Source organism: Homo sapiens, chromosome 17 (assembly GCF_000001405.40).
Source record: "Homo sapiens chromosome 17, GRCh38.p14 Primary Assembly".
Classification (NCBI taxonomy): domain Eukaryota; kingdom Metazoa; phylum Chordata; class Mammalia; order Primates; family Hominidae; genus Homo; species Homo sapiens.
In genome coordinates, this window is record NC_000017.11 from 63,281,200 (window position 1) to 63,306,121 (window position 24,922).

Genomic DNA, 24,922 nt, shown 5'->3' on the forward strand with positions numbered 1-24,922 from the left:
TCAAGTTTGTAGCATTTTGCTTAAGGACTCTTTCCAATCTGTGGATGGCTTCAGGTGGCAGAAAGCCACAGCTTTACTTACTTGAAGTATCAAAGGACAGAATCCCAAAGCTGGCAGAATACTGGAAAGTTAGCAAGGAATTTCTAAAAGAAAGGGAGCTGCAGAGGCGGTAGGTCCCAAAATGTGTGTGTAAGCCTTGCCCCAGATCCTTGGCTGACTACTGAACCATATATGTATAGAAGAAATCCTAATAAGCTCTGCAAATAAAGAAACACCCAGAAGCTGAAAGAACTTTTCAGCTGCTTATTATAACCGAAGAGAATTTGAATCCGGCTAAGTTAACTTGAACAAAAATCAGCATACTTGAACAAAAATCAGCATACTTGAGAGGAACATAACAGAATCCAGAGGTTCTAAAATGTATCTGTTAAACCCAGTGTAATTGAATAATGTATCCCAAAAATTCAGGTCCACCCAGAATCTAAGAACGTGACCTTTTTGGAACTAAGACCTTGCAGGTGTAATTAAATTAAAATGAGATCACGCTAAATTAGGGTGAGCCCTAAATCCAATGACGGTATTTTTTAAAAAGAAGAGAAGTCACACAGAAGTACACAAGGAAGGGGGCCATGTGAATTTGGAGGCAGAAGTTGGAGTGATAGAGCTGTATAAGCCAAAGAACACCATGGATTTATAGGAGCTACCGAAAACTAGGAAGAGGGAAAAACTTTCTTGAGCCTCAGAGGGAGCATGGCCCTAGGGACACCTTGATTTTGGACTTCTAGCCTCCAGAACTGTGAGAAAATAAAATTTGGTTGTTTTAAGCCACAAAGTTAGTGGTAACTTGTTATGGCAGCCCTAAGAAATTAATACACCCAATGTAGTAAAAAGGAAGGAAATATTATAATAAAGATAAGAGCAGAAATCAGTGGAGTAAGAAATAGACAAACATTAGCAATAATGAACAAAGCCAGAATTCGTTATTTGAAAAAATAAAATTTATGAACCCCATAAATAAAATTTATGAATCTTAATATTGCTTAAGAAAAATGGGAGAAAACACAAATTACTAATATCAGGAATGAAAGAGGAGATATCACTACACATTCTACAGACATAGAAAGGATAATAAGAAAATATAAAGAGATATTATATATGCCAGTAACTGCAACAACTTAGATGAAAATAACAAATTTCTTGAAAAGCACAACTTACCAAAACTAACACAAGGTGAAATAAAATATCTCAGGGTCTCTATTTCCTTTGAGAAATTGAACCTGCTATCAGAAACCATCCACCAAATAAAACTTCATGATCAAGTGGTTTCACCATTGAATTCTATCAAATATTTAAGAGTAGGTGGCTAGATCATCTGACAGGTATATGTTTAACTTTTTAAGAAACTGCAAAATGATATTCAAAGTGGTTGTATCATTTTCGTTCTCACTATCCATGTATGAGAGTTTCAGTTCCTCCCCATTCTTGTTGGTACACAGCGTGGTCAATCTTTTAAACTTTTGATATTCTACTACTATGTAGTGATGTCTCACTGCGCCTTTAATTTGGATTTACTAGTAACTGATATTGAAAATCTTCCTGTGCGCCTATTTGCTATCTGAACATCCTCTTTAAGTTGTGAAACTTTTTTTATCTAGTTTGGATGCACGTCCTTTAACAGATACTTGATTTACAAATATTTTTTCCTCGTTTATGACTTCTCTTTTCATTCTCTTAACAGTGTCTTTTGAAGACAGAAGTTTTTAGATGTCCAACTTGTGAATTTATGTCTTAGAGGACTGGCCTTTTAGTGTCGTGTTTAAGATTTCTCTGACAAATGAAAGGACACAAATATTTTCTCCTAGAAATTTTGTAGTTTTATGTTTTACATTTAGGTATCTGATTGATTTTGAGTAAATTTTTGTATATGATGCAAGATATGTGTCAACATTCTTTTTCTTTTCGGTTTCTTCTTTTTGGAGGGGAAGATACGGATACCTAGTTGTTCCCGCACCATTTGTTGTAAAGACTATTCATCTACTGGATTCCTTTTGTACCTTTGTTAAAAATTATTCATCCATAGATATATAGTTCTATTTCTGGACTTCTGTTTCACTTATCTAATAATATTCTGTATTGATACTAATAACATACTTTATTACTGTAGCTTTATAGTAAATCTTGAAATCATGTCAACACTCCAGTCTTCTTTTTTAGAGTTATTTCAGCTATTCTAGATTCTTTGCATTTCCGTGTGAAGCCTTATAAATTTCTACAAAAAAAAAAACTGCTAGAGTTTTTATGGAGATTGCATTGGATGGATGGATGGATGGATGGACAGACGTACAGACAGATCAATTTGAGGGGGGAAGATAGATAATTTGGGAGAAAATTGACTTATCAGTATTGAATCTTCCAACCTATATAGTATATCTCTGCAGTCATGTAGACCTTCCTTAATTTCTATCAGCTGTATTTTCTAGCTTTCAATGTATAAATGTTGAAAATCTTTTATACTTATCCTTCAGTATTTCATATTTCTTATGCTATTGTAAATGATATTGCTTTTAGCTTAATTTCTAATTGTTCATTGCCAATATATAGAAGTACAATTGATTTTTACCATGTTGCTCTTGTATCCTAAAACCTTGCTAAACTCACTTATGAGTTCTAATGACTTTTTTTAATAGATTCAGTAAGATTTTCTGCATAGATGATCATGTTGTCTGTAAATAAAGATAATCTTAGTTCTTCCTTTTTCTTTTTCTTGCCTTATTACTCTGACTAGAACTAGTACAATGTTGAGTAGAAACAAAGAGAGCGGAAATTCTTGCTTTTTCTTGGTCTTAGGTGGAAAGCATTCAGTCTTTCACCATTAGCTATGTCAATATGTTCTCCATAGATGTTCCATATCAGATTAAGGAAGTTCTTTGCTGTTGTTAGTTTGTTGATACTTTTTTTTCAATCAGGAATTTATATTGGATTTTGTCAGAATTCCTCAACATCAATAGAAGTTATATTTTTCTTTTTTAGTTAAACATTGCAAATCACATTGATTGATATTTGAATCTAACTTCGCATTCCTAAGAGAAAAGCTACTTGGTCATGACTTTTTAATATATTGATGGATTCAATTTGCTGCAATTTTGTATTTACTGTTCTGTATTTATGTTCATGAGAGATACTGGTTTCTAGGGTTTTTTGATGTCTTTGTCTGGTTTTAGTATCATGGTAATGGGAAAGTATTACCTCCTCTTTACTTTTTTTTAAAGCATTTCATTTGCGTTCCATTCAAAATACTTTCAAATTTGTCTTTTGACTTTTTCTTTGATTTACATGTATTTATTTCTGGGGAACTTCCAGATATATTTCTGCTATCGATTCCAAGTGTAATTTCACTGTTATCAAAGAACATGCTTTGTATGACATGATTTCTTTTAAATTTATACAGAATTTTTTACGGCCCAAAATATAGTCTGTCTTCATAAATGTTTCATATGCAATTGAAAAGAATTTGCTATTTTACAGTAGACACTTCTATAAATATCAAATAGGTCAAATTGTTTTTTTCAAGTCTTCTATATCCTTGCTGATTTTCTACTTGTTCGCTTAATTATTAGAAGAGAGACATTGAAATCTTTAGCTGCAAAAATGGATTTTGTGGATTTCTGTATTATTCCTTGTAGTTTTTGCTCTTTGTGTTTGGAGCTTTGTTATTAGAGCGTGTATTTAGGACTGTTATGTATTCTTGATGCACTGACCCAGTGATCATTAGGGAATGACCTTTTTTTAATCCTTGATGATACTCTTTGCTCTGAAATCACTTTGTCTAATAATAAAAACCACTCCACCTTTCTATTATTTGTGTTAGCATATATTAGTTATCTTTGTCCATACCTTTAATTTTAGCCTATTTGTTTATTTATATTTACAGTGAGCTTCTTATTAGCATCATAGTGATGGGTCTTGCTTTTTTATCCAATCTGTCTTTGGCTTCTAATTGAAATATTTAGATCATTTACTTTTTTTTAATTAGGGGAGGTTTAAATTTATCTTCTTGCTATTTGTTTTTCATTTATCCTATCTATTCCTTGTTCTCATCCTGCTTTTCTCTATTTTGCTATCACATTTTGATTATTTGTATATTTTTATCTCCTTAGTTAATTAGCTGTACTCTTTGTTATTGTTTGTTCACTGTATCATGTATACTATGTAGGTTTAACTTATTACAGTGTACCCTTAAGTGATATTACACCATTTCATGTATAGTATAAGAGCATTACAATAGTTATGTCAGGAGTGCCCCTCAGTTCACGGATTCCCTGGGAAGACTCACAGGACTCAACATATAGTCATTCCCACAGCTATGCTTTATTATAATGAAAGGATACAAAGGAAAATCAGCAAAGGGAAAAGCCACATGGTGCAAGTCTGGAGGAAATTAGACACAAGCTTCCAAGTACCCTCCCCAGTTAAGTCACACAACATACACTCAATTCCTCCAGCAATTAGTTGTGACAACATGTGTGAAATATTGTATACCGGGAAAACGCATTAGTGATTCATGACCCAAGATTTTTATTGGCGTGTGGTCATACAGACCCCCACCTTGCCTAACACATACCAAAATTCCAGGCAGCCAGAAGGGGAGCAGGTAAACCACATTGTTTATACAAACTGTTTAGGTACAATGAGCCGTTCTTACCAGTTCTGGGAATGGTAAGAACCCTCCTGAAATCCAAGTTCCCAGACTCCTGCCAAGAGTCAACCTTGTAAGCAAGCTTTCTGAGGGGAGCAGCCTCAGACCTGTTATATTAATTATTTCTGCACCATGTATATTTCCATTTGTCCCCTCCCAACTTCTATGTTGTTGTTGTCAGACATTTTACTTATATAAATGTTATATACCCCACAATACAGCAGTTAGTTATCTTTTAAAGAGTTTTAACCAATAAGATAAAAATCTTATGTATTTATCCATGCGTTACCATTTCTGGTGCTCTTCATTTCTTTGTGTTAATCCATATTTGCATCTGCTGTCTTTCCTTCTGCCTGAAGGACTTCCTTTAACATTTCTTGCATTGTGGATCTGCTAGTGATTAATTTATTCAGCCTCTATATGTCTGTAAAGGTCTTTATTTTAATATGATTTTTGAAATATTTGAAAGATGTTTTCACTGGGTAAAGAATTCTAAGTTGACAGATTTTTTTTCCTTTCCATAATTTAAAACTACAGATCCACTGCCTTCTCACTTGCATTATTTGTGACAGGGAATCTGCTGTCATTCTTTCCTTTGTTCCTCTGTACTTAATGTCATTTCTTCTCTAGCTGCTTTTAAGATTTTCTCTTTATCACTGTTTTGATCAGTTTGATGTGCCTTAGTGTCATTTTATTCATGTTTCTTAAACTTGAGGTTTATTGAACTTCTTGGATCAGTGGGCTTATAGTTTTCTTCAAATTTGGAAATTTTGTAGCCATAGTTTCTTTAAATGTATCTTCTTTCCCCCACCTTCAGAGACTGCAATTACAACTATATTTGTCCACTTGGAGTTATCTCACAGTTCACTGATGCATTTTTATTTTGGAGGGTCCCTCTGTGTTTTTAATTTTGTATAGTTTCTATTCCTTTGTCTTGAAGGTCATTCATCTTTTCCTCTGTAACGTCAAATGTGTCACTAATTCTATCTAGTGTATTTTTCACTTCAGCTGGGTGTGTGTGTGTTTGTTTGTTTGTTAGTTTTGAGATGGAGTCTCTCTCTGTACTCTTTGTTATACACCCAGCCTGGAGTACAGTGGCGCAATCTTGGCCCACTGCAACCTCTGCCTCCCGGGTTCAAATGATTCTCTTGCTTCAGCCTCCCGAGTAGCTGCATTACACCCAGCCGCCACCACACTTGGCTAATTTTTCTATTTTTAGTAGAGACAGGGTTTTGCTATGTTGGCCAGGCTGGTCTCAAACTCCTGACCTCAGGTGATCTGCCTACCTCAGCATCCCAAAGTGTTGGAATTACAGGTGTGAGTCACTGCACCCGCCCTCATTTCAGATGTTCTAATTTTATATCTAGAAGTTCAATTTGAGTCTTATAGCTTCCTTGTTCATACCTTTTGAGCATATTTAATACAGTAATAATCTGTTTTAAGATATTTCTCTACTAATTCTAACATCTGTCTTATTTGTCAGTTTCAATTGATTGATTTTGTTTCTCCTAAATATGAATCATATTTTCTTGCTTCTTTGCATACCTGATAATCTCTTTTTGGTTATCTGATGTTGTGAATTTTAGCTTGTTGGGTGTTAGAAATTTTTGTATTCTTATACATATTCTTAAGCTTTTTTCTGAAATGTTATTTGCAGACAATATGATCAGTTTTCTGTCTTGCCTTAATCATTTGTTAAGCAGGACCACAGCAGCATGTATTCCAGGTCTAATTGTTTGGTACTTCTGAGATAAGACCCTTCTGAGTATTCTACTGAATGTCCTGTATATATTTTTTTTTTTTTTGAGGAGTCTCTGTCACCCAAGCTAGAGTGCAGTGGCATGATCTCAGCTCACTGCAGTCTCCATCTCCTAGTCTCAGCAATTCTCCTGCCTCAGCCTCCTGAGTAGCTGGGACTACAGGTGAGCACCACCATGCCTGGCTAAGTTTTTGTATTTTTAGTAGAGACGGGGTTTCACCATGTTGGCCAGGCTGGGTCTCGATCTCCTGACCTCAGGTGATCTGCCTGCCTCGGCTCCCCAAAGTGCTGGGATTACAGGCGTGAGCCACTGTGCCTGGCCGAATGTCCTGTAAATTTTTCCATTCTGGCTGGTAGGAACAGGTACTATTTCTGGCCCTATGTAAGAAGCAGATACTTTTTTTTCTAATCTTGGATAGATCTTTTCTCAGCCTTGGATAGTTTCCTCACATACACATGCCAGTGAGTACTCCATTGATTTCTCAAGGGTTAATTTCCACAGATCTCCAGAATTATTTCTGCACAGCTTTCTTCTTCCCAGAACTCTGTCCCTTGAATTCTCACTGCCTTGGTCTCCTGGGATTCTCAGCTCCACCTCCTCAAGTAAGGGAATGTGTCAGATTCTGACTGGGTTCTCTCTCTTTGCATTGTTTAATCTCTGTGTATTTTGGAATTTTCCAGCTATCTTTCTGTTATTGGTTTCTAATAATTCCATTGTGATCTGAGAGCAGATATTATATGCTTTCTATTTTAAATTCATTAAGATCTGTTTTATGGTTCAGAATGTGGTCTGGTTTGGTAAATACTCCGTGTGAACTTGAAAAGAATGTGCATTCTGCCCTTGTTGGGTAAAGTCATCTATGGATGTCAGTTATATTCAGGTATTTGATGGTATCGTTGAGTTCAACTGTGTCCTTACTGATTTTTCTGCCTGTTGGATCTGTCCATTTCTGTTAAAAGGATGTTGAAATCTATATATGAGATCTATAAGGATCTTCATATGTTTTTGGAGAATTTACCCCTTTATCATTATGTAATACCCCTCCCTGTTCCTAATTGTTATCTGTTAGATCAATTCAGAATAAAAAAAAAATAAAAGTTTGTATCTTACCTTCACTTATTCCTTCTTTAGTGCTTTTCCTTCCTTTATGTAGATTTTAGTTTCTGACCTATATTATTTTCCCACTCTAAAGAACTTTTCTTAACATTTCTTGCAAGGCAAGTCTGGCAACAAATTTCCTCAATTTTTATTTGTCCAGGAAAGTCTTTATTTCTCCTTTACTTCTGAAGGATAATTTCTCAGGGTACAGAATTCTAGGTTGGTGGGGTTTTCTCTCAACATTTTAAGTATCTTACTCCCCTCTCTTCTTGCTTGCTTGGTTTCTGAGAAGTCACATGTAATTCTTATCTTTGTTCCTCTATAGATGAGGCATTTTAAAAATCTGGCTTCTTTCATGATTTGTTCTTTATCGTAGTTTCAAAATGATACGCCTAAGTATAGCTTAGGGGGCATTTATTATGGTTGATGTTCTCCGACCATCTTGTGGTTTGCTGTCTGATATTAATTTGGGGAAAATTCTCAGTCATTATTGTTTCAAATATTTATTCTGTTCCTTTTTCTCTTTTTTCTCCTTCTGGTATTCCCCATTATGCATATTTACACCTTTTGTAATTGTTCCACAGTCATTGGATATTTTATTCTGGGTTTTTTTCAGTCTTCGTTCTCTTCGTTTTTCAGTTTTGAAAGTTTCTGTTGATACATCCTCAAAATCAGAGATTCTTTACTCTGATTTTTATCTATTAATAGACCACATACAGTCCATTAATAGTCCCATTAAAGGCATTCTTCACCTCTTTTGCAGTGTTTTTTAATCTCTAGCATTTCTTTTTGGTTCTTCCTTAGGATTTCCATCTCTTTGCTTACATTACCCACTATTGTTGCATGCTGTCTACTTTATCCATTAGCGCCTTTAACGTGTTAATCATAGTTGTTTTAAATTCCCTGTCTGTGTGTTACATCTCTGCCATGTCTGGTTCTGATGCTCACCCTGTCTCTTCACATTGTGTTCTTTGCCTTTTAGTATTCCTTGTGCTTTTTTCTTGATAGCTGGATATGATCTACTGTTTTAAAGGAACTGCTGTAAGTGGGCCTTTATTATTAATCATGTGGTAGTGAGCTGTGGGGATGAGGAAGCGTTCTGTAGTTCAGTAAGTAGGTCTCAGTTTTTTAGTGAGCTTGTGCCTCTGAACTGTAAGCTTCATAAGTGTTCCTCAGGTATTGTTTTCCTTCCCCCCCTTCAGTGGGAGAGGAGGACTAGAGTGGGAGACAGTTGGGTATTTCCCTTCTCCCACAAGGAATGCTTCCCTTCAGTTAGGCACTGATAATACTCCAGCAGGTTGGGCTCTGGTGAACTAGGTTCCCCTGAGGGCAGGCCTTGTTAAGAGCATTGTGCTTTGGCATGTTTCAAAATGGTTACTTTTCCCCTTCTTCTGCTAGAAGCTTGAGGGGATTTTTCTTCAGTATTTACTGTGAGAACCTGGTTGGGCTCCTAGAGGTAAGTCACACAAAATGGTGGCGGCCCCCATCTCTGAGTGCCCCTGGAGTTGTTAACTCTCAGACTTGTCCACATGGAGCCTCCAGCAATTTGTCAGTAGCAAGTCAGGTTTTCCTACCCTGGCTCTGGTTCCCACTGCATTTTCCACTCTGGTAAGCTGTGACTCCCTGACTGTACTCAGTGATTTGCCCTGTGCCCTCACCTCTTATGGATCCTGGAATTGTTGAATTTTTAGTCTGTTCAGGTTTTTACTTGTTGTTAGGATGAAGTGGTGACTTCCAAGCTCCTTACATGTGAAACTGGAAACTGGAAGTCTCCCTTCTTACATTGTGGCCTGGAAATGCTTTCAAGGCAATAAGTGGGCAGTCACAGGATTTGCCTCATTTGTTTTCCATCTGAGGAACCACTGTTTTTCATTGCCTTATGTCTGCTGTCTTAAAACCTATTGTTTCATATATTTTGTGTAAAGGTTTGTTTATTGCTTTAGGTGGGAGGGTTAATCTAGTGCCGCTTACTCCATCTTGGCCAGAAGTGGAAATTCATGTCAAATTTTTAAGAAGAATGTTATAGATGGAGTAGACCAGAACATAAACCAGTGTCTCATTAGAAGGTAACCGTCTTGGTAGTTAGAATTAGGTTCTCCATAAGCTACAATGCATATTGTACTTACAATAATGAAGAGTTAAATGAGTCATTGTTTACATAACAATAAACTTAACATGTAACATTAGCAAGACTTTAGTTACTAAATGGATGGATGTGGATCCAGCCTTCTCAATAACTTTTCTAAATGAAAGTGAGTCTTAAAAAAAAAAATTCATACTGTCCTCTCTAAATACTAACTCTGAGGCATTTTCCCCCTTCCCCCAGCTTCCTATAGGAAATACTATTCACCGATTATAAGTGCCTTGGCTAGTATCCAAGTCTTACCTGTGACATGCACAGAGCTTGGAAAATGGTTTTTCTTCCCTCTCGTTATTTAATAGTCTTCTTGTTTATGACAGTAGCCTTTAAACAGGGAATGTGTTCCTGAAAGATGGCAAACAAATGATTTCATTTTCTTTTATTATATAGTACAGAGCAGTGATTTTCAAAGGCTGGGTTTGCATCCTTAACTGTCTTCCCCTAGCCTTCCTGTTCTACCAAAACCAAGTCTATACACATTTCTCTGCAGTTGAGAGTGGAAATCATATTAGCTTTATTCACAAATCCGTTTACTAAACATTATGGAATGTACATACCCTCTGACAAGAACTGGAATGTACATACCCTCTGACAAGAACTGTAGTAACACTAGGTTGGATGATTATGGTGGGGTGAGTTAATGAGATGCAAGGGTAGCAGTGTAGGGATGGACATCATCATGTCAGATACAAATATTTGGTGGCTTTATACAAAAGAAATGTGAGAGATGCAAGATTATCCATTAAAATAAAAGCAAAACATCTTGAGAACCTAAATTATATGGCTATCATTCATTGAGAACTTCCTAGGTTCTGATTAAGGACTTAACATACATTTCCTCGTTTAACCTTATCAGGTAGATGCTCTTATTATCCTCATTTTACAGATGACAAAACAGGCTTAGAGTGAACCAGCAACCCCTCCAAGATTACAGCACTATAAACAACAGTGGAATGGGAAAAGAGGAAAGGGATTATATCTAAGAGATATTCCTCAAGAATAATTGATAAGACCTGTGACAAATTAGTTGTAATGATTAAGGAGGAAGAAATTATGGGTAAGTCCCAAGTTTCTATCTTGGAAGACCAGACAGATGGTGATATTTCATTAACTGTGGTAACAAATGGAAAAGAACGAATAGATTAAGGTAAGCGAGATAAATTTAGCTTTAAACATTTTAAGTTTGAGATTTCTATTGGATATCCAAGCAGATAACTCTTCTAAGTTGTTGGAAATGCTGTACAGGAATGAGGTCTAGAATAGAATAAACTTGGGCACCATCACCACTTAGATTGTGTGAAAGACACTAGTGTCTTCCTTTGAGATTGATAAGAAAAAAACAATAAAATATAGAACCTAGGATTGGCAGTATTTTAAAGATGGGCAGAAAGCAGGAGTCATTAAAGATATATCAGGAGGAGAAGACAAGAAAAGAACTGGAAGAAAGTGTCGTCACGTTAAGCCCAAGAAAGGAGGCTATTTCAAAAAGTGGGGATGGGTAAACAGTGTGAAATACTAAAAAGTGATTAAGAAGCATAAAGACTGAAAATAAATAATTTGATTTAACAGAAAGTCTTTAGTGACTTTAACTAAAACAATTAGAGCAGAATATTTTGGGTGGAAGCCAGGCTATAAATTATTGCTATGAAAGTGAAAATTGCAAACATGGTTCTTTCCAAACTTTGGGTGGTAAAAGGAAGAATGGAGATGAAGAAGCAGCATCAAAGGGAAGATGGCTCAAAAAGGGCCAATATGTTTTGGTATCCTTTTTGTTTAGTTTTGTTTTAAATAAGTGTGTGTGGGATGGGGTGATTATGATTACACTGGATGTCTCTGTTGGCTTGATGATATGGATGGTGATAACAGCTAACACAGTTAACAGCCAGACACTGTCCTAAGCACATCACATGTATTAACTCATTTTATCTCCATGGTATCATTAACCCTATTTTAAACATGAGGAAACTGAAATATCAATAACATAAGCAGCTAGCCTAAGCTTGCACAGAGATACGATGCAAACTGAGGCAGCCTGACTCCAAGTCCACAGTTTACCCTCCCTGCTATATGCTTCCCTGCTCACCCAAAAAAGCGATTCTGCTTTATTTATTCTAATTTTCTTTACAGAATGTATCTAGAGTGAACATTTTTCAGACCATTATCTTTAGAGTGTGTTTTAGGACCTGATTCAAATTGCTTTCCGTTCTTCAAAAACTTATTTCCTGGGATAGGAATAGCTGCCCACTCTAGTCCTATTCCTGAGCACCAAGAATAAACAGACTTGACTCTTGTAAATGGAAGAATGAGTTTCTTCTAGAAACTCAGTAGAAAAATGAGCTCCTACTATGGCCTTAAGTATTAAGAAAAAATAAGTGTGTGTTTTGCCTTTTGTTTGGTGCTAATGTGATACCAGGTTTTGTATGAAGCACATGTGTTTTCCCTGTTTTATGTAGAGAATAGCATGCATGGAATGAACCCCAAAAATAAGCCCCAAATTATCTTTTGCTCAAAGGAACAGAGGTACTTCGAGGCTAGACTTTATAGTCATTATAGAAGAATGTGAGGAAATACAACTCTGCTTTTATTTGCACCAGACTTTGGCTGTGTTACACTTTCTTCTGCCAGTCCTGTGACTGACTTCTCTTTAAATGATTCATGGTTGTTTTCCATGAATAAATATGCATTAGTCAAGATCCAGTTAGAGCCCCCACTTCCCCTTCCCCTCTTTTCCCTAGCTGCAGCTGTTTATATTTGCATTTGACTGGACAGATCTGTTAGCCTTAATGTGTTTTTCTTTGTTTATTAAAGGTTTACACTTTGCCTTAGTTGAAGAAAGGTAAGGATTTTTTTTGTTTTTGTTTTTTTTCCCGTGGGTGCCCGCCACCCACCCACCCAGAGTGCAGTACCATAATCACAGCTCACTGCAGCCTCAACCTCTTGGACTCAAGCTATCCTCCCACCTCAGGCTCGGACTACAGCCACATGCCACCACACCCAGCTAATTTTTGTAATTTTTGTAGAGATGAGGTTTTGCCATGTTATCCAGGCTCATCTTAAACTCCTGGGCTCAAGCAGTCTTCCCACCTTAGCCTCCTAGAGTGCTGGGATGATAGGCATGAGCCACTGCACCCAGCCCCTACATTTTCTTTATAAGCCTAGATATATAATTACAATTATTGATGATCTCACAGAAACTTTCCTAGAAGGAATTCATTTGTCTGCCATAAGCCTAATTTACATTGAAGAGATAGACACAGTGATTAAAGACTGGAGGAGTTCTTAAATCCTTAAAGAAACTACTAGGCCAGGCGTGTTGGCTCATGGCTGTAATCCCAGCACTTTGGGAGGCCAGAGCTGGCAGATTGCTTCAGTTCAGGAGTTCGACACCAGCGTGGTAAATGGTGAAACCCTGTCTCTACAAAGAAATACAAAAATTAGCCCGGCATGGTGGCATGTGCCTGTGTCCCAGCTACAGGAGGCTGAAATGGGAAGATTGCTTGAGCCTGGGAGGTTGAGACTGCAGTGGGCTGTGATCACACCACCGCACTCCATCCAGCCTAGGCGACAGAATGAGACCCTGTCTTGAAAAAAAAACAAAAAGAAACTGCCTTCCCAAGTTTATCTTTTTTGTATGCCCTATTAGAATGCTTTTCCTTTTTATGTTTTTCCCCATTTTATTAGAAAAATTTCCAGATATACAAAATGGAAGAATTTTACAACAAACACTCATATGCCCACCAACTTGATTTCATCATAAACATTTTACTGTCTTATTTTATCACATCTGTTCATCTACCTATCTCTTTATGCACCTATCATTTTTTATGCATTTCAAAGTAAATTGCAGGTATTAGTATACTTTACTGGAATGCTTTTAGAAGGGTGGAGTGGTCTTCCTGCTCTGTTGCTGCCTTGGCTGTACCATTTTCTGGGTGCTGCGGATAAGAAAGTCACATTCTGTTGCTAAATGATATGGATTAGTTCATCTTTTTTCCTTAGCTCAGCTATAGTTGGGATGATAACTTGTCACTGAATTCCTTCAGTGGTTTCTGCCTTAGAAAATCTCTTGGAAACCAGCAGATATTCAAAATAAAGAAACATTTATTTAGGCATGTGAACCCCACAGAGAATATTCATTACATTCATCCCCGTAATGCAGGCCAACAGTGCTTTCTTGTTCATATGTTCTAAATTTATAGTCGAGTACATAGAAAGTAGGGCTTTCTTTTATCATATTGATCTGATAAAAGCCCTAGGTTTTGAGGTACAGAAACCATCCATTTCTGGGCTGTACAGACACCATTTTTGGTGTCTACAGTTGTTTTGCCATATGGTACTGGGCTAATTTTGTCTGTGTTCCTCTCTTGAGGCTTTTGTGAATTAATTACGTTTTTAGAAAATTTTTTAAATAACTTTTTAAAATGTCAAAGCTTTCTCAGTAGAATAAAATATGATGAGGCATTATGTCAACATGAGAACAAGTTATCTTAATAGACTATTTCTCAGAAACTGAGGCCTTTGAGTCTGTACTTATTCCATGTTATAAATTAGCATTAGTCATATTCATGAAAGCCTCCTTTGAAACAACATGTAAAGTAATCTTGGACCTGAAGAGATAAGTCTATTTAGAAAGCAACGAAGTCTCTGAATAGTTCTCCACTCTGGAAAGGTCATCTCTGGCCAAGCATGAAAATTCCTAAAGGGAAGTACAAAGAGAGATAAGGGGAAAGAAGCTGGCTTAGCCAGTCATATAAGCCTAATCAATTCTGGTCGTCAGTGGGATAACTCATGCCACATTCAGATGTAATAATCAAATCCTTTAGAACAAATACAACATAATATAATAGAAAAGGCCTGGATTTTAGAGTGAGAACTAGGTTTTGGGTCTAGTTCTTAAACTAACTACATGGCCTTACATCCCTATAAGACTAATTAGACTTGTCCATAAAAATACTATAAGAATTTTATGAGGGGCCCATAATTCCGTTTGTCAGGAGAGCCCACAACTGAGGCAGTCCTGGGTGAGGTTTATCTCCCTCTTTTTACCTCCCCAAGTCATGGAGCCAGCTGATCTTTCTATTTCCTGTTTCCTGCCTAAGACTACTCAGCTAGAGCTCAGTGCATCTGTCTGAATGTCTGCTTTTCCATCAAGGGCTCTCAGATGCCCAAGAAACCCCCTGAGTGGTTAGCTACTTCCTGCTATCAAATGGCATCACAGAAAAGCAGAGTAAGAAGCTCTAAGAATCAGTCCTTGCCCTGAAGCAACCATTAAGCTGGCAAAAAATGACAAAATCATCTTTTTCAGAATTCTGGAATCTAATCAAAACTTAAAGCTACAAGAGGAGTGCCTAATGAAGAAAGAGGTTACTCAATTTCAGCATTTAATGAAATCTGTCAGATCACTGGCTGACCACTGAGATAATAGAAGAGAGACTTCAGTGACTACACACAATAAGGAGTAGAGTCATTGCAAAAATTGTTTGGAAAAGTCACTAAAGGGACAACAGTAGGGCCAAAATAAGCAATAACAGCAAGCCCTGTGAAGGAGGCAGAATCTGATATCCAGACTTACCACATTATAATATTCAGAAGGCACAGTTTTTGATACAAAATGACAAGGCATACACAGAAATAGGAAAGTTTGGCCTATTCACTGGAAAAAATAAATTGACAGAAGCCATCCCTGAGGCAGCTGAGACATTGGACTTATCAAACAAAGACTTTAAATCAGCTGTATTAAATAGGGTCAAAGAGCTAAAGGAAACCATGGATGAAAGGATACCAGGAGAACAATTTATGAGCAAATAGAGTATATCAACAGAGACAGAAATTATAAAAAGGAAACAAATAGAAATTCTGGAGTTGAAAAGTACAATAGATAAAATTTAAAATTGACCAGAGAAGTTCAACAGATTTGAGTAGGCAGAAGCAGAAGAAATAGTGAACTCGAAGATAAACAGTTGGAATTATTCAGTCTAAAGAAGAGAAAGAAAAAAGAATATGGAAAAATGAACAAGCCTACAAGATCTGTGGAACATCATCAAGTTTGTAAATGTGCACTTGAGAGTCTCAGGAGAAGAGAAAGTGAAAGGGTCAGAAAAAAAAATCTACAAAAAGCAAACAAACAAACTTGAGCTAATAACATGAATTCAGCAAAGTTGCTGGATACAATATCAGCTCACAAAAAGCAGTTATGCTTCTTCTATATACTGTATTAATGTTTAATGTTGTTAAGATATTGGTACTACCCAAAGGAGTCTACAAATACAACACAATCCCTAGCAAAATTCCAACAGCCTGTTGGGCAGGAATGGAAAAGGAAATTCTCAAATTCACATGGACTTGCAAGGGGCCCTGAATAGCCAAAATGATATTGAAAAAGAACAAAGTTGGAAGTGTCAAACGTCCCAATTTCAAAACTTGTCATAAAGCTGTATTAATCAAAACACTGTGATACTGGCATAGGAATACACATAAAAGACCAATGTAATACAGTTGAAAGTCCAGAAATAAACCCCATACATCTATAGCCAATTGCTTTTCAACAAGGGTGCTAAGTCTAGGAAAGAATAGTCTCTTCAGCAAATGGTACTGAGACAACTGGATATCTACCTGCAAAAGAATGAAGTTGGACCCTACCTCACACCATACAGAAAACTCAAAATGAATCAACAACCTAACCTACAGATAAGAGCTCCAACTGTAAGACTCTTAGAAAAAGAGTACAGGAAAAATCCTCATGACCTTAGATTGGGCAAAAGATTCTTAGCTATGACACCAAAAGCATGAGGAACAGCAGTAACCAAAAAATAAGATATTTTGAACTTCATTAAAATTAATTTTGTGCATCAAAGGACACTGTGAAAAAAATGAAAAGACAGCCCACAAAATGGGAGATAATATTTGCAAATCATGTATCTGATAAGGGTCTAGTATCCAGAATATATTAAAAAAACTCCTACAAGTCAACAACAAAAAGACAACCCAATTTAAAAATGAATAAATGACTTGAATAGACATTTTTCAAAGAAGATGTACAGATGTCTAGCTTATGAAAAGATGTTCAACATCATCAGTCATTAGGGAATGCAAATTAAAATCACAGTGAGATACTATTTTACACCCCCTAGGATGGCTGTAATAAAAACAAAAAAAACTAACAAGTGTTAATGAGGATTTGGAAAAATAGGAACTCTTGTACATTGCTGGTGGGAATGTAAAATAGTACAGCCACTGTGGAAAACAGTTTAGTGGTTCCTCATATAGTTAAACATAGAATTGCTATATGATCCAGTAATTTCATTTTTAAGTATCTACCACAAAGAATTGAAAACAGGTGCTCAAATACATACACACGAATATACACAGCACCACTATTTGTAGTAGCCAAAGGTAGAAACAATCCAAATATTCATCAGTGGATGAATGGATAAGCATCATGGTATATATGTACAATGTATATTATTCAGCCATCAAAAGGAATGAAGTACTGATACAAGCTACAACATGAATGAACCTTGAATTATGCTAAGTGAGAGAAGACAGACACAAAATGTCACATCTCGTTTGTGAGATATCCAAATAAGGAAATCCACAGACACAGAAAGCGAATTGTTTGCCAGAGACGTGGGAAGGGAGCAATGGAGAATAACTCTTTAGTAATATAGGGTTTTATTTTGGAGCAACAAAAATGTTTTGGAACTAGATAGAAGTGGTGGTTGTGCAATATTGTGAATGTACTAGATGCCATTGAATTGTACACTTTAAAGTGGTTAATTTTATATTAATTTCACCTTGATTTTAAAAAACTTATGTGAAGAATATATGTAAAAACCTACAATCATGAGATTTCCTTTTTTATTTATTTATTTTATATTATTTTAAGTTCCAGGATACAAGTGCAGAACTTGTAGGGTTGTTACATAGGTATACATGTGCCATGGTGGTTTGCTGCACCTATCAACCCATCATCTAGGTTTTAAGCCCCACATGCATTAGTTATTTGTCCTAATGCTCTTCCTCCCCTTGCCCCCACATCCCCCGACTGGCCCTGGTGTGTGTTGTTTCCCTCCCTGTGTCCTTGTTATTCTCAGTGTTCAACTCCCACTTATGAGTGAGAACATGCAGTGTTTGGTTTTCTGTTCCTGTGTTAGTTTACTGAGGATGATGTCTTCCAGCTTCATCTGTGTCCCTGTAAAGGACATGATCTCATTCTTTTTTATGGCTGCATAGTACTCCATGTTGTATATGTACCACATTTTATTTATCAAGTCTATCATTGATGGGCATTTGGGTTGGTTCCATGTCTTTGCTATTGTAAATAGTGCTGCAATAAACATATGTGTGCATGTGTCTTTATAGTAAAATGATTTCTATTCCTTTAGGTATATACCCAGTAATGGGATTGCTGGGTTAAATGGTATTTTTGGGTCTAGATCCTTGAGGAATCGCCACACTGACTTCCACAATTTTTTAACTAATTTATATTCCCACCAACAGTGTAAAAGCGTTCCTTTTTCTCCACAGCCTCACCAGCATCTATTGTTTATTGACTTTTTAATAATTGCCATTCCGACTGGCATGAGATGGTATCTCATTGTGGTTTTGATTTGCATTTCTCTAATGGTCAGTGATGTTAAGCTTTTTTTTTTTTTTTTTGTATGCTTGTTGGCTGCATAAATGTCTTCTTTTGCGAAGTGTCTGTTCATATCCTTTGCCCACTTTTTGGTGGGGTTGTTTGTTTTTTTCTTGTAAATTTGTTTAAGTTCCTTGTAGATTCTGGGTATTAGACTTTTGTCAGATGGATCGATTGCAAATAGTTTCTCCCATTCTGTAGATTGCCTGTTCACTCTGATGATGGTTTCTTTTGCTGTGCAGAAGTTCTTTAGTTTACTTAGATCCCACTTGTCAATTTTGGCTTTTATGGCAATTATTTTTGGCATTTTTGTCATGAAGTCTTTGCCCATGCCTATGTCCTGAATGGTATTGCCTAAATTTTCTTCTGGGGTTTTTATGGTTTAGGGTTTTACATTTAGGTCTTTAATCCATCTTGAGTTAATTTTTGTATAAGGTGTAAGGAAGGGGTCCAGTTTCAGTTTTCTGCATATGGCTAGCCAGTTTTCCCAGCACCATTTATTAAATAAGGAGTCCTTTCCCTATTGTTTATTTTTGTCAGGTTTGTCAAAGATCAGATGGTTGTAGATGTGTGGTGGTATTTCTGAGGTCTCTGTTCTGTTCCATTGGTCTGTATGTATGTTTTGGTACCAGTACCATGCTGTTGTGGTTACTACAGCCTTGTAGTATAGTTTGAAGTCAGGTAGCATGATGCCTCCAGCTTTGTTCTTTTTGCTTAGGATTGTCTTGGCTATACAGGCTCTTTTTCAGTTCCATATGAATTTTAAAGTAGTTTTTACCAATTCTGTGAAGAATCTCAATGGTAGTTTGATGGGAATAACATTGAATCTATAAATTACTTTGAGCAGTATGGCCATTTTCATGATATTGATTCTTCCTATCCATGAGCATGGAATGTTTTTCCATTCATGTCCTTTCTTACTTGAGCAGTGGTTTGTAGTTCTCCTTGAAGAGGTCCTTCACATCCCTTGTTAGCTATATTCCTAGGTATTTTATTCTCTCTCTTTGTAGTGATTGTGAATGGGAGTTCATCCATGATTTGGCTCTCTGCTTGTCTAATGTTGGCGTATAGGAATGCTTGTGGGTTTTGCACATTGATTTTGTATCCTGAGACTTTGTTGAAGTTGCTTATCAGCTTAAGGAGTTTTTGGGCTGAGATGATGGAGTTTTCTAAATATAGAATCACGTCTTCTGCAAACAGACAATTTGGCTTCCCCTCTTCCTATGTGAATACACTTTATTTCTTTCTCTTGCCTGATTGCCCTGGCCAAAACTTCCAATACTGTGTTGAATAGGAGTAGTGAGAGAGGGCATCCTTGTCTTGTGCCGGTTTTCAAAGGGAATGCTTCCAGCTTTTGCCCATTCAGTATGATATCAGCTGTGGGTTTGTCATAAATAGCTCTTATTATTTTGAGATATGTTCCATCAATACCTACTTTATTGAGAGATTGTAATGTGAAGGGATATTGAATTTTATCAAAGACCTTTTCTTCATCTGTTGAGATGATCATGTGGTTTTTGTCATTGGTTCTGTTTATGTGATAGATTATGTTTATTGATTTGCATATGCTGAACCAGCCTTGCATCCCAGGGATGAAGCCCACTTGATTGTGGTGGGTAAGCTTTTTGATGTGCTGCTGGATTTGGTTTGCCAGTATTTTATTGAGGATTTTCGCATTGATGTTCATCAGGGGTATTGGCCTAAAGTTTTCTTTTTTTGTTGTGTCTCTGCCAGGTTTTGGTATAAGGATGATGCTGGCCTCATAAAATGAGTAAAGGAGGAGTCCCTCCTTTTCAGTTGTTTGGAATAGTTTGAGAAGGAATGGTACCAGCTCCTCTTTGTACCTCTGGTAGAATTCGGCTGTGAATCCATCTGGTCCTGGACTTTTTTCAGTTGGTAGACTCTTAATTATTACCTCAATTTCAGAACTTGTTACTGGTCTATTCAGGGATTCAACTTCTTCCTGGTTCAGCCTTGGGAGGGTGTATGTGTCCAGGAATTTATCCATTTCTTCTAGATTTTGTAGTTTATTTGCATAGAGGTGTTTATACTATTCTCTGGTGATAGTTTATATTTCTGTGGGGTTAGTGGTGATATCCCTTTTATCATTTTTTATTGTGTCTATTTGATTCTTCTCTCTTTTCTTCTTTATTAGTCTTGCTAGCAGTCTATCTATTTTGTTAATTTTTTCAAAAACCAGCTCCTGGATTCATTGATTGTTTCAAGGGTTTTTCTTGTCTCTATACTCTTCAGTTCTGCTCTGATCTTAGTTATTTCTTATCTTCTGCTAGCTTTTGGATTTGTTTGCTCTTGCTTCTCTAGCTCTTTTAATTGTGATGTTAGGGTGTCAATTTGAGATCTTTCTGGCTTTCTGATGTGGGCATTTAGTGCTATAAATTTCCCTCTTAACACTGCTTTTGCTGTGTCCTAGAGATTCTGGTAAGTTGTGTCTTTGTTCTCATTGGTTTCAGAGAACTTCTTGATTTCTGCCTTAATTTCATTATTTACCCAGGAGTCATTCAGGAGCAAGTTGTTCAATTTCCTGTAGTTGTTTGGTTTTGAGTGAGTTTCTTAATCCTGAGTTCTAATTTGATTGCACTGTGGTCTGAGAAACTGTTTTTTATTATTTCAGTTATTTTGCATTTGCTGAGGAGTGTTTTACTTCCAATTATGTGGCTGATTTTAGAATAAGTGCCATGTGGCACTGAGAAGAATGTCTATTCTGTTGATTTGGGGTGGAGAGTTCTGTAGATGTCTATCACGTCCACTTGATCCAGAGCTGAGTTCCAAGTGCTGAATATCCTTGTTAATTTTCTGTCTCGTTGGTCTGTCTAATATTGACAATGGGGTGTTAAAGTCTCCCACTATTATTGTGTGGGAATCTAAGTCTCTGTAGGCCTCTAAGAATTTGTTTTATGAATCTGGATGCTCCTGTATTGGGTGCACATATATTTAGGATAGCTCTTATTGTTGAACTGATCCCTTTACCATTATGTAATGCCCCCTTTGTCTTTTTTGATCTTTGTTGGTTTAAAGTCTGTTTTGTCAAAGACTAGGATTGCAACCCCTGCTTTTTTTTTTTTTTTTTTTTTTTTTTTTGCTTTCCATTTGCTTGGTAAATTTTCCTCCATCCCTTTATTTTGAGCCTATGTGTGTCTTTGCACGGGAGATGGGTCTCCTGAATACAGCACACAGATGGGTCTTGACTCTTTATCCGATTTGCCAGTCTGTGTCAGGTTTTTTGTTTTGTTTTGAGATGGAGTCTTGCTCTGTTGCCCAGGGTGGAGTGCAGTGACATGATCTCAGCTCACTGCAACCTCTAACTCCCAGGTTCAAGGGATCCTCCTGCCTCAGCCCCCCTAGTAGCTAGGATTACAGGCATGCGCCACCATGCCTGGCTAATTTTTGTATTTTTAGTAGAGACAGTTTCGCCATGTTGGCCAGGCTGGTCTCAAACTCCTGACCTCAGGTGATCCACCTGCCTCAGCCTCCTAAAGTGCTGGGATTATAGGCATGAGCCACTGTGCCCGGTCATCTGTGTCTTTTAATTGGGGCATTTAGTCCATTTACATTTAAGGTTAATACTGTTATGTGTGAATTTGATCCTATCATCATGATGCTATCTTGTTATCTCACACACTAGTTGATGCAATTTCTTCATGGTGTCATTGGTCTTTATATTTTGGTGTGTTTTTGCAGTAGCTGGTACTGGTTTTTCCTTTCCATATTTAGTGCTTCCTTCAGGAGCTCTTGCAAGGCAGGCCTGGTGGTGACAAAATCCCTCAGCATTTGCTTATCTGGAAAGGATTTTATTTCTCCTTTGTTTATGAAGCTTAGTTTGGCTGGATATGAAATCCTGGGTTGAAAATTCTTTAAGAATGTTGAATATTGGCCCCCACTGTCTTCTGGCTTGTAGGGTTTCTGCTGAGAGGTCTGCTGTTAGTCTCATGGGCTTCCCTTTGTAGGTGACCTGGCCTTTCTCTCTGCCTGCCCTTAACATTTCTTCCTTCATTTCAACCTTGGAGAATCTGATGATTATGTGTCTTGGGGTTGATCGTCTCGTGGAGTATCTTACTGGGGTTCTCTGTATTTCTTGAATTTGAATGTTGGCCTGTCTTGCTAGGTTGTGGAGATTCTCCTGGATAATATCCTGAAGTGTGTTTTCCAACTTGGTTCCATTTTCCTCCTTTCTTTCAGGTACTCCAGTCAATCACAGGTTTGGTCTTTTTACATAGTCCCATATTTCTTGGAGGTTTTTTTGTTCCTTTTCATTCTTTTTTCTCTAATCTTGTCTGCGTGCCTTATTTCAACAAGATGGTCTGGATATCCTTTCTTCTGCTTGGTCGATTCAGTTATTGATTCTTGTGTATGCTTCACGAAGTTCTCGTGCTGTGTTTTTCAGCTCCATCAGGTCATTTATGTTCCTCTCTAAACTGGTTATTCTAGTTAGCAGCTCCTATAACCTTTATCAAGGTTCTTAGCTTCTTTGCATTGGGTTAGAACATGCTACTTTAGCTCAGCGGAGTTTATTACCCACCTTCTGAAGCCCACTTCTGTCTATTCGTCCATCTCATCCTTCATCCAGTTCTGCGCCCTTGCAGGAGAGGCGTTGCGATCATTTGGAGGAGAAGAGGCACTCTGGCCTTTTGAGTTTTCAGCATTTATCATTGATTCTTTCTCCTCTTCATGAGTCTGTCTAGTATTGATCTTTGAGGCTTCTGACCCTTAGATGGGGTTTTTGTGGGTATCTTGTTGTTGATGCTGTTATTGCTTTCTGTTTGTTTTTCTTGCAATGGTCAGGTCCCTCTTCTGTAGGGCTGCTGCAGTTTGCTGGGGGTTCACTTCAGGCCCTATTCATCTGGTTCACTCCTGTGCCTGGAATTCTCACTCGAGGAGGCTGGAGAGCAGCAAAGATGGGTGCTTGCTCCTTCCTCTGGGATCTCTGACCTCAAGGGGCACTGACCTGATGCCAGTAGGAACGCTTCTGTATAGGGTGTCTGACAACCCCTGTTGGAGATTCTCAACCAGTTGGGTGGCACGGGGAGCAGGACCTGTTTATTAACAAAGCACTTTGACTGTCCCTTGGTGGACGGGGGTGCTTTGCTGGGTAGGGGGCCTTGTCTGGGCTCCCTGGATTCCTCAGAACTATGCAGGAGCAAAGACTAAGTCTGCTGGTCCATGGAGACTGCGGCCACCCTTCCACCTAGGGACTCAGGCCCAGGGAGATTAGAGTTCTATCCCTGAGTCCCTGGCTGGAGTTGTTGGAGTTCCTGCAGGGAGGCCCCGTGCAATGAGGAGGGATGGGTCAGGCCTGAAGAGGCACTCTGTCCGCGGTCTGCCACAGCCAGTGTGTTCAGCTGTGAAGGACACCTCTTGGGACTAAGCCATCCATCCTCCCTTGCTCCGGCAGGGGAAAGCGCAGCCTGGAGCTATAGAGATGGCTGCCGCCCATCCCCTGCCCAGGGAGCTTAGTGTGTTAGGCAGCTATCAGTCCTATTGTTCGCTGTTGCCCCTTCCCCAAGGAGCTCAGATGGCTTAGACAGCAGGCAGCTGCAGCCGTGGTGCTGGTCACCACCCCCGCTACCCCCAGGAGCTTGGTAGGCTTAAGCACATTCTAGCCGAGTGGCTATTGAGAATCTGTGCGGCTCCATGGTTGGGACCCTAGGCCCTGTTGGTGTGGGCTCACGAGTAGGATCTTCCGATCCATGGGTTACACAGTTCCGTGGAAAAAACATGTTTTCCCAGGCTGGGTAGCGTACTCACTCACTGCCTACCTTGGCTGGGGGTGACTCCTCTGCCCCGTGTGGCTCTCAGGTGGGCCGCCTTACCACACTGCTCTTCCTTCCTCTCTGCGGGTCACACCAGCCACATAGTCAGTTCTGATGATGGAACCTGGGTACCTCGGTTGCCGGTGCAGGATTCACACAGTGTTATGGTTCTTTTCAATGGGAGCCTCTGATCGCGTCTGCTTCTAGTCAGCCATCTTGGCCCCACCCGCTATGATTTCCCTTTTTTCTTCTGTCTTTCACATGTAGTCTGTATTTAAAACTGCTAGACATTATCCTTTCTCTAAGAGTTTGCAATCTGGTTGGAAAAACAGTATTTAAAATGTTAATAAGTAGTGTAAGTCAGTGTATAATTAAGCACTAAATTATATGGAGTAAACTTAGTTTGGGAAGAGGAAAATAAATGAGGACTAGATTGATTAAGGAAGATACTATGAAGAAGATGAAAATTAACCTTGACTGTAATATATGGACATGGTATGAAGAGAAGAAGAGGGGCATTTCAGGTCAAAGGGACAACCTGCCCTAAGGCACAGGAACTGGATTGGAGCAGTTTGTCAGGGTACTCTGTGAAGACTGCCTTGTCTGCCTCAGATAGCACATGGTGGCAGGGTGTGAGGCGTGGACAGGACAGAATTGAGCCATGTTACAGAAAGCCGTCAGAACCTGGGGAGGAGCTTAGCTTAGATTTGATACAGCAGAAAACTGCACCTTTGGACGCGCTAGAAGGGAATGACGTAATGTGGTCATTGTAATAAAGAATTGGTCTGGCATAATATCCAAAACGGAGTGACTGAGGCAGGAAGT

At 38.1% G+C, this 24,922-nt stretch overlaps 1 protein-coding gene across 21 annotated transcripts in view, besides 1 other annotated feature; it reads left to right on the forward strand.

The window, feature by feature from the left end:
• TANC2 (tetratricopeptide repeat, ankyrin repeat and coiled-coil containing 2) overlaps positions 1 to 24,922 on the forward strand; it is a 461,469-nt gene that overhangs the window by 314,965 nt on the left and 121,582 nt on the right. The window lies entirely within an intron of this gene.
• Positions 23,711 to 24,305: an enhancer, noted in NCBI's record as "H3K27ac-H3K4me1 hESC enhancer chr17:61382271-61382865 (GRCh37/hg19 assembly coordinates)". NCBI's record gives its function as "activates a minimal SCP1, AML or CMV promoter by ChIP-STARR-seq in primed H9 embryonic stem cells {active_cell/tissue: H9 hESC(primed)}" and the evidence as "EXISTENCE:reporter gene assay evidence [ECO:0000049][PMID:30033119]".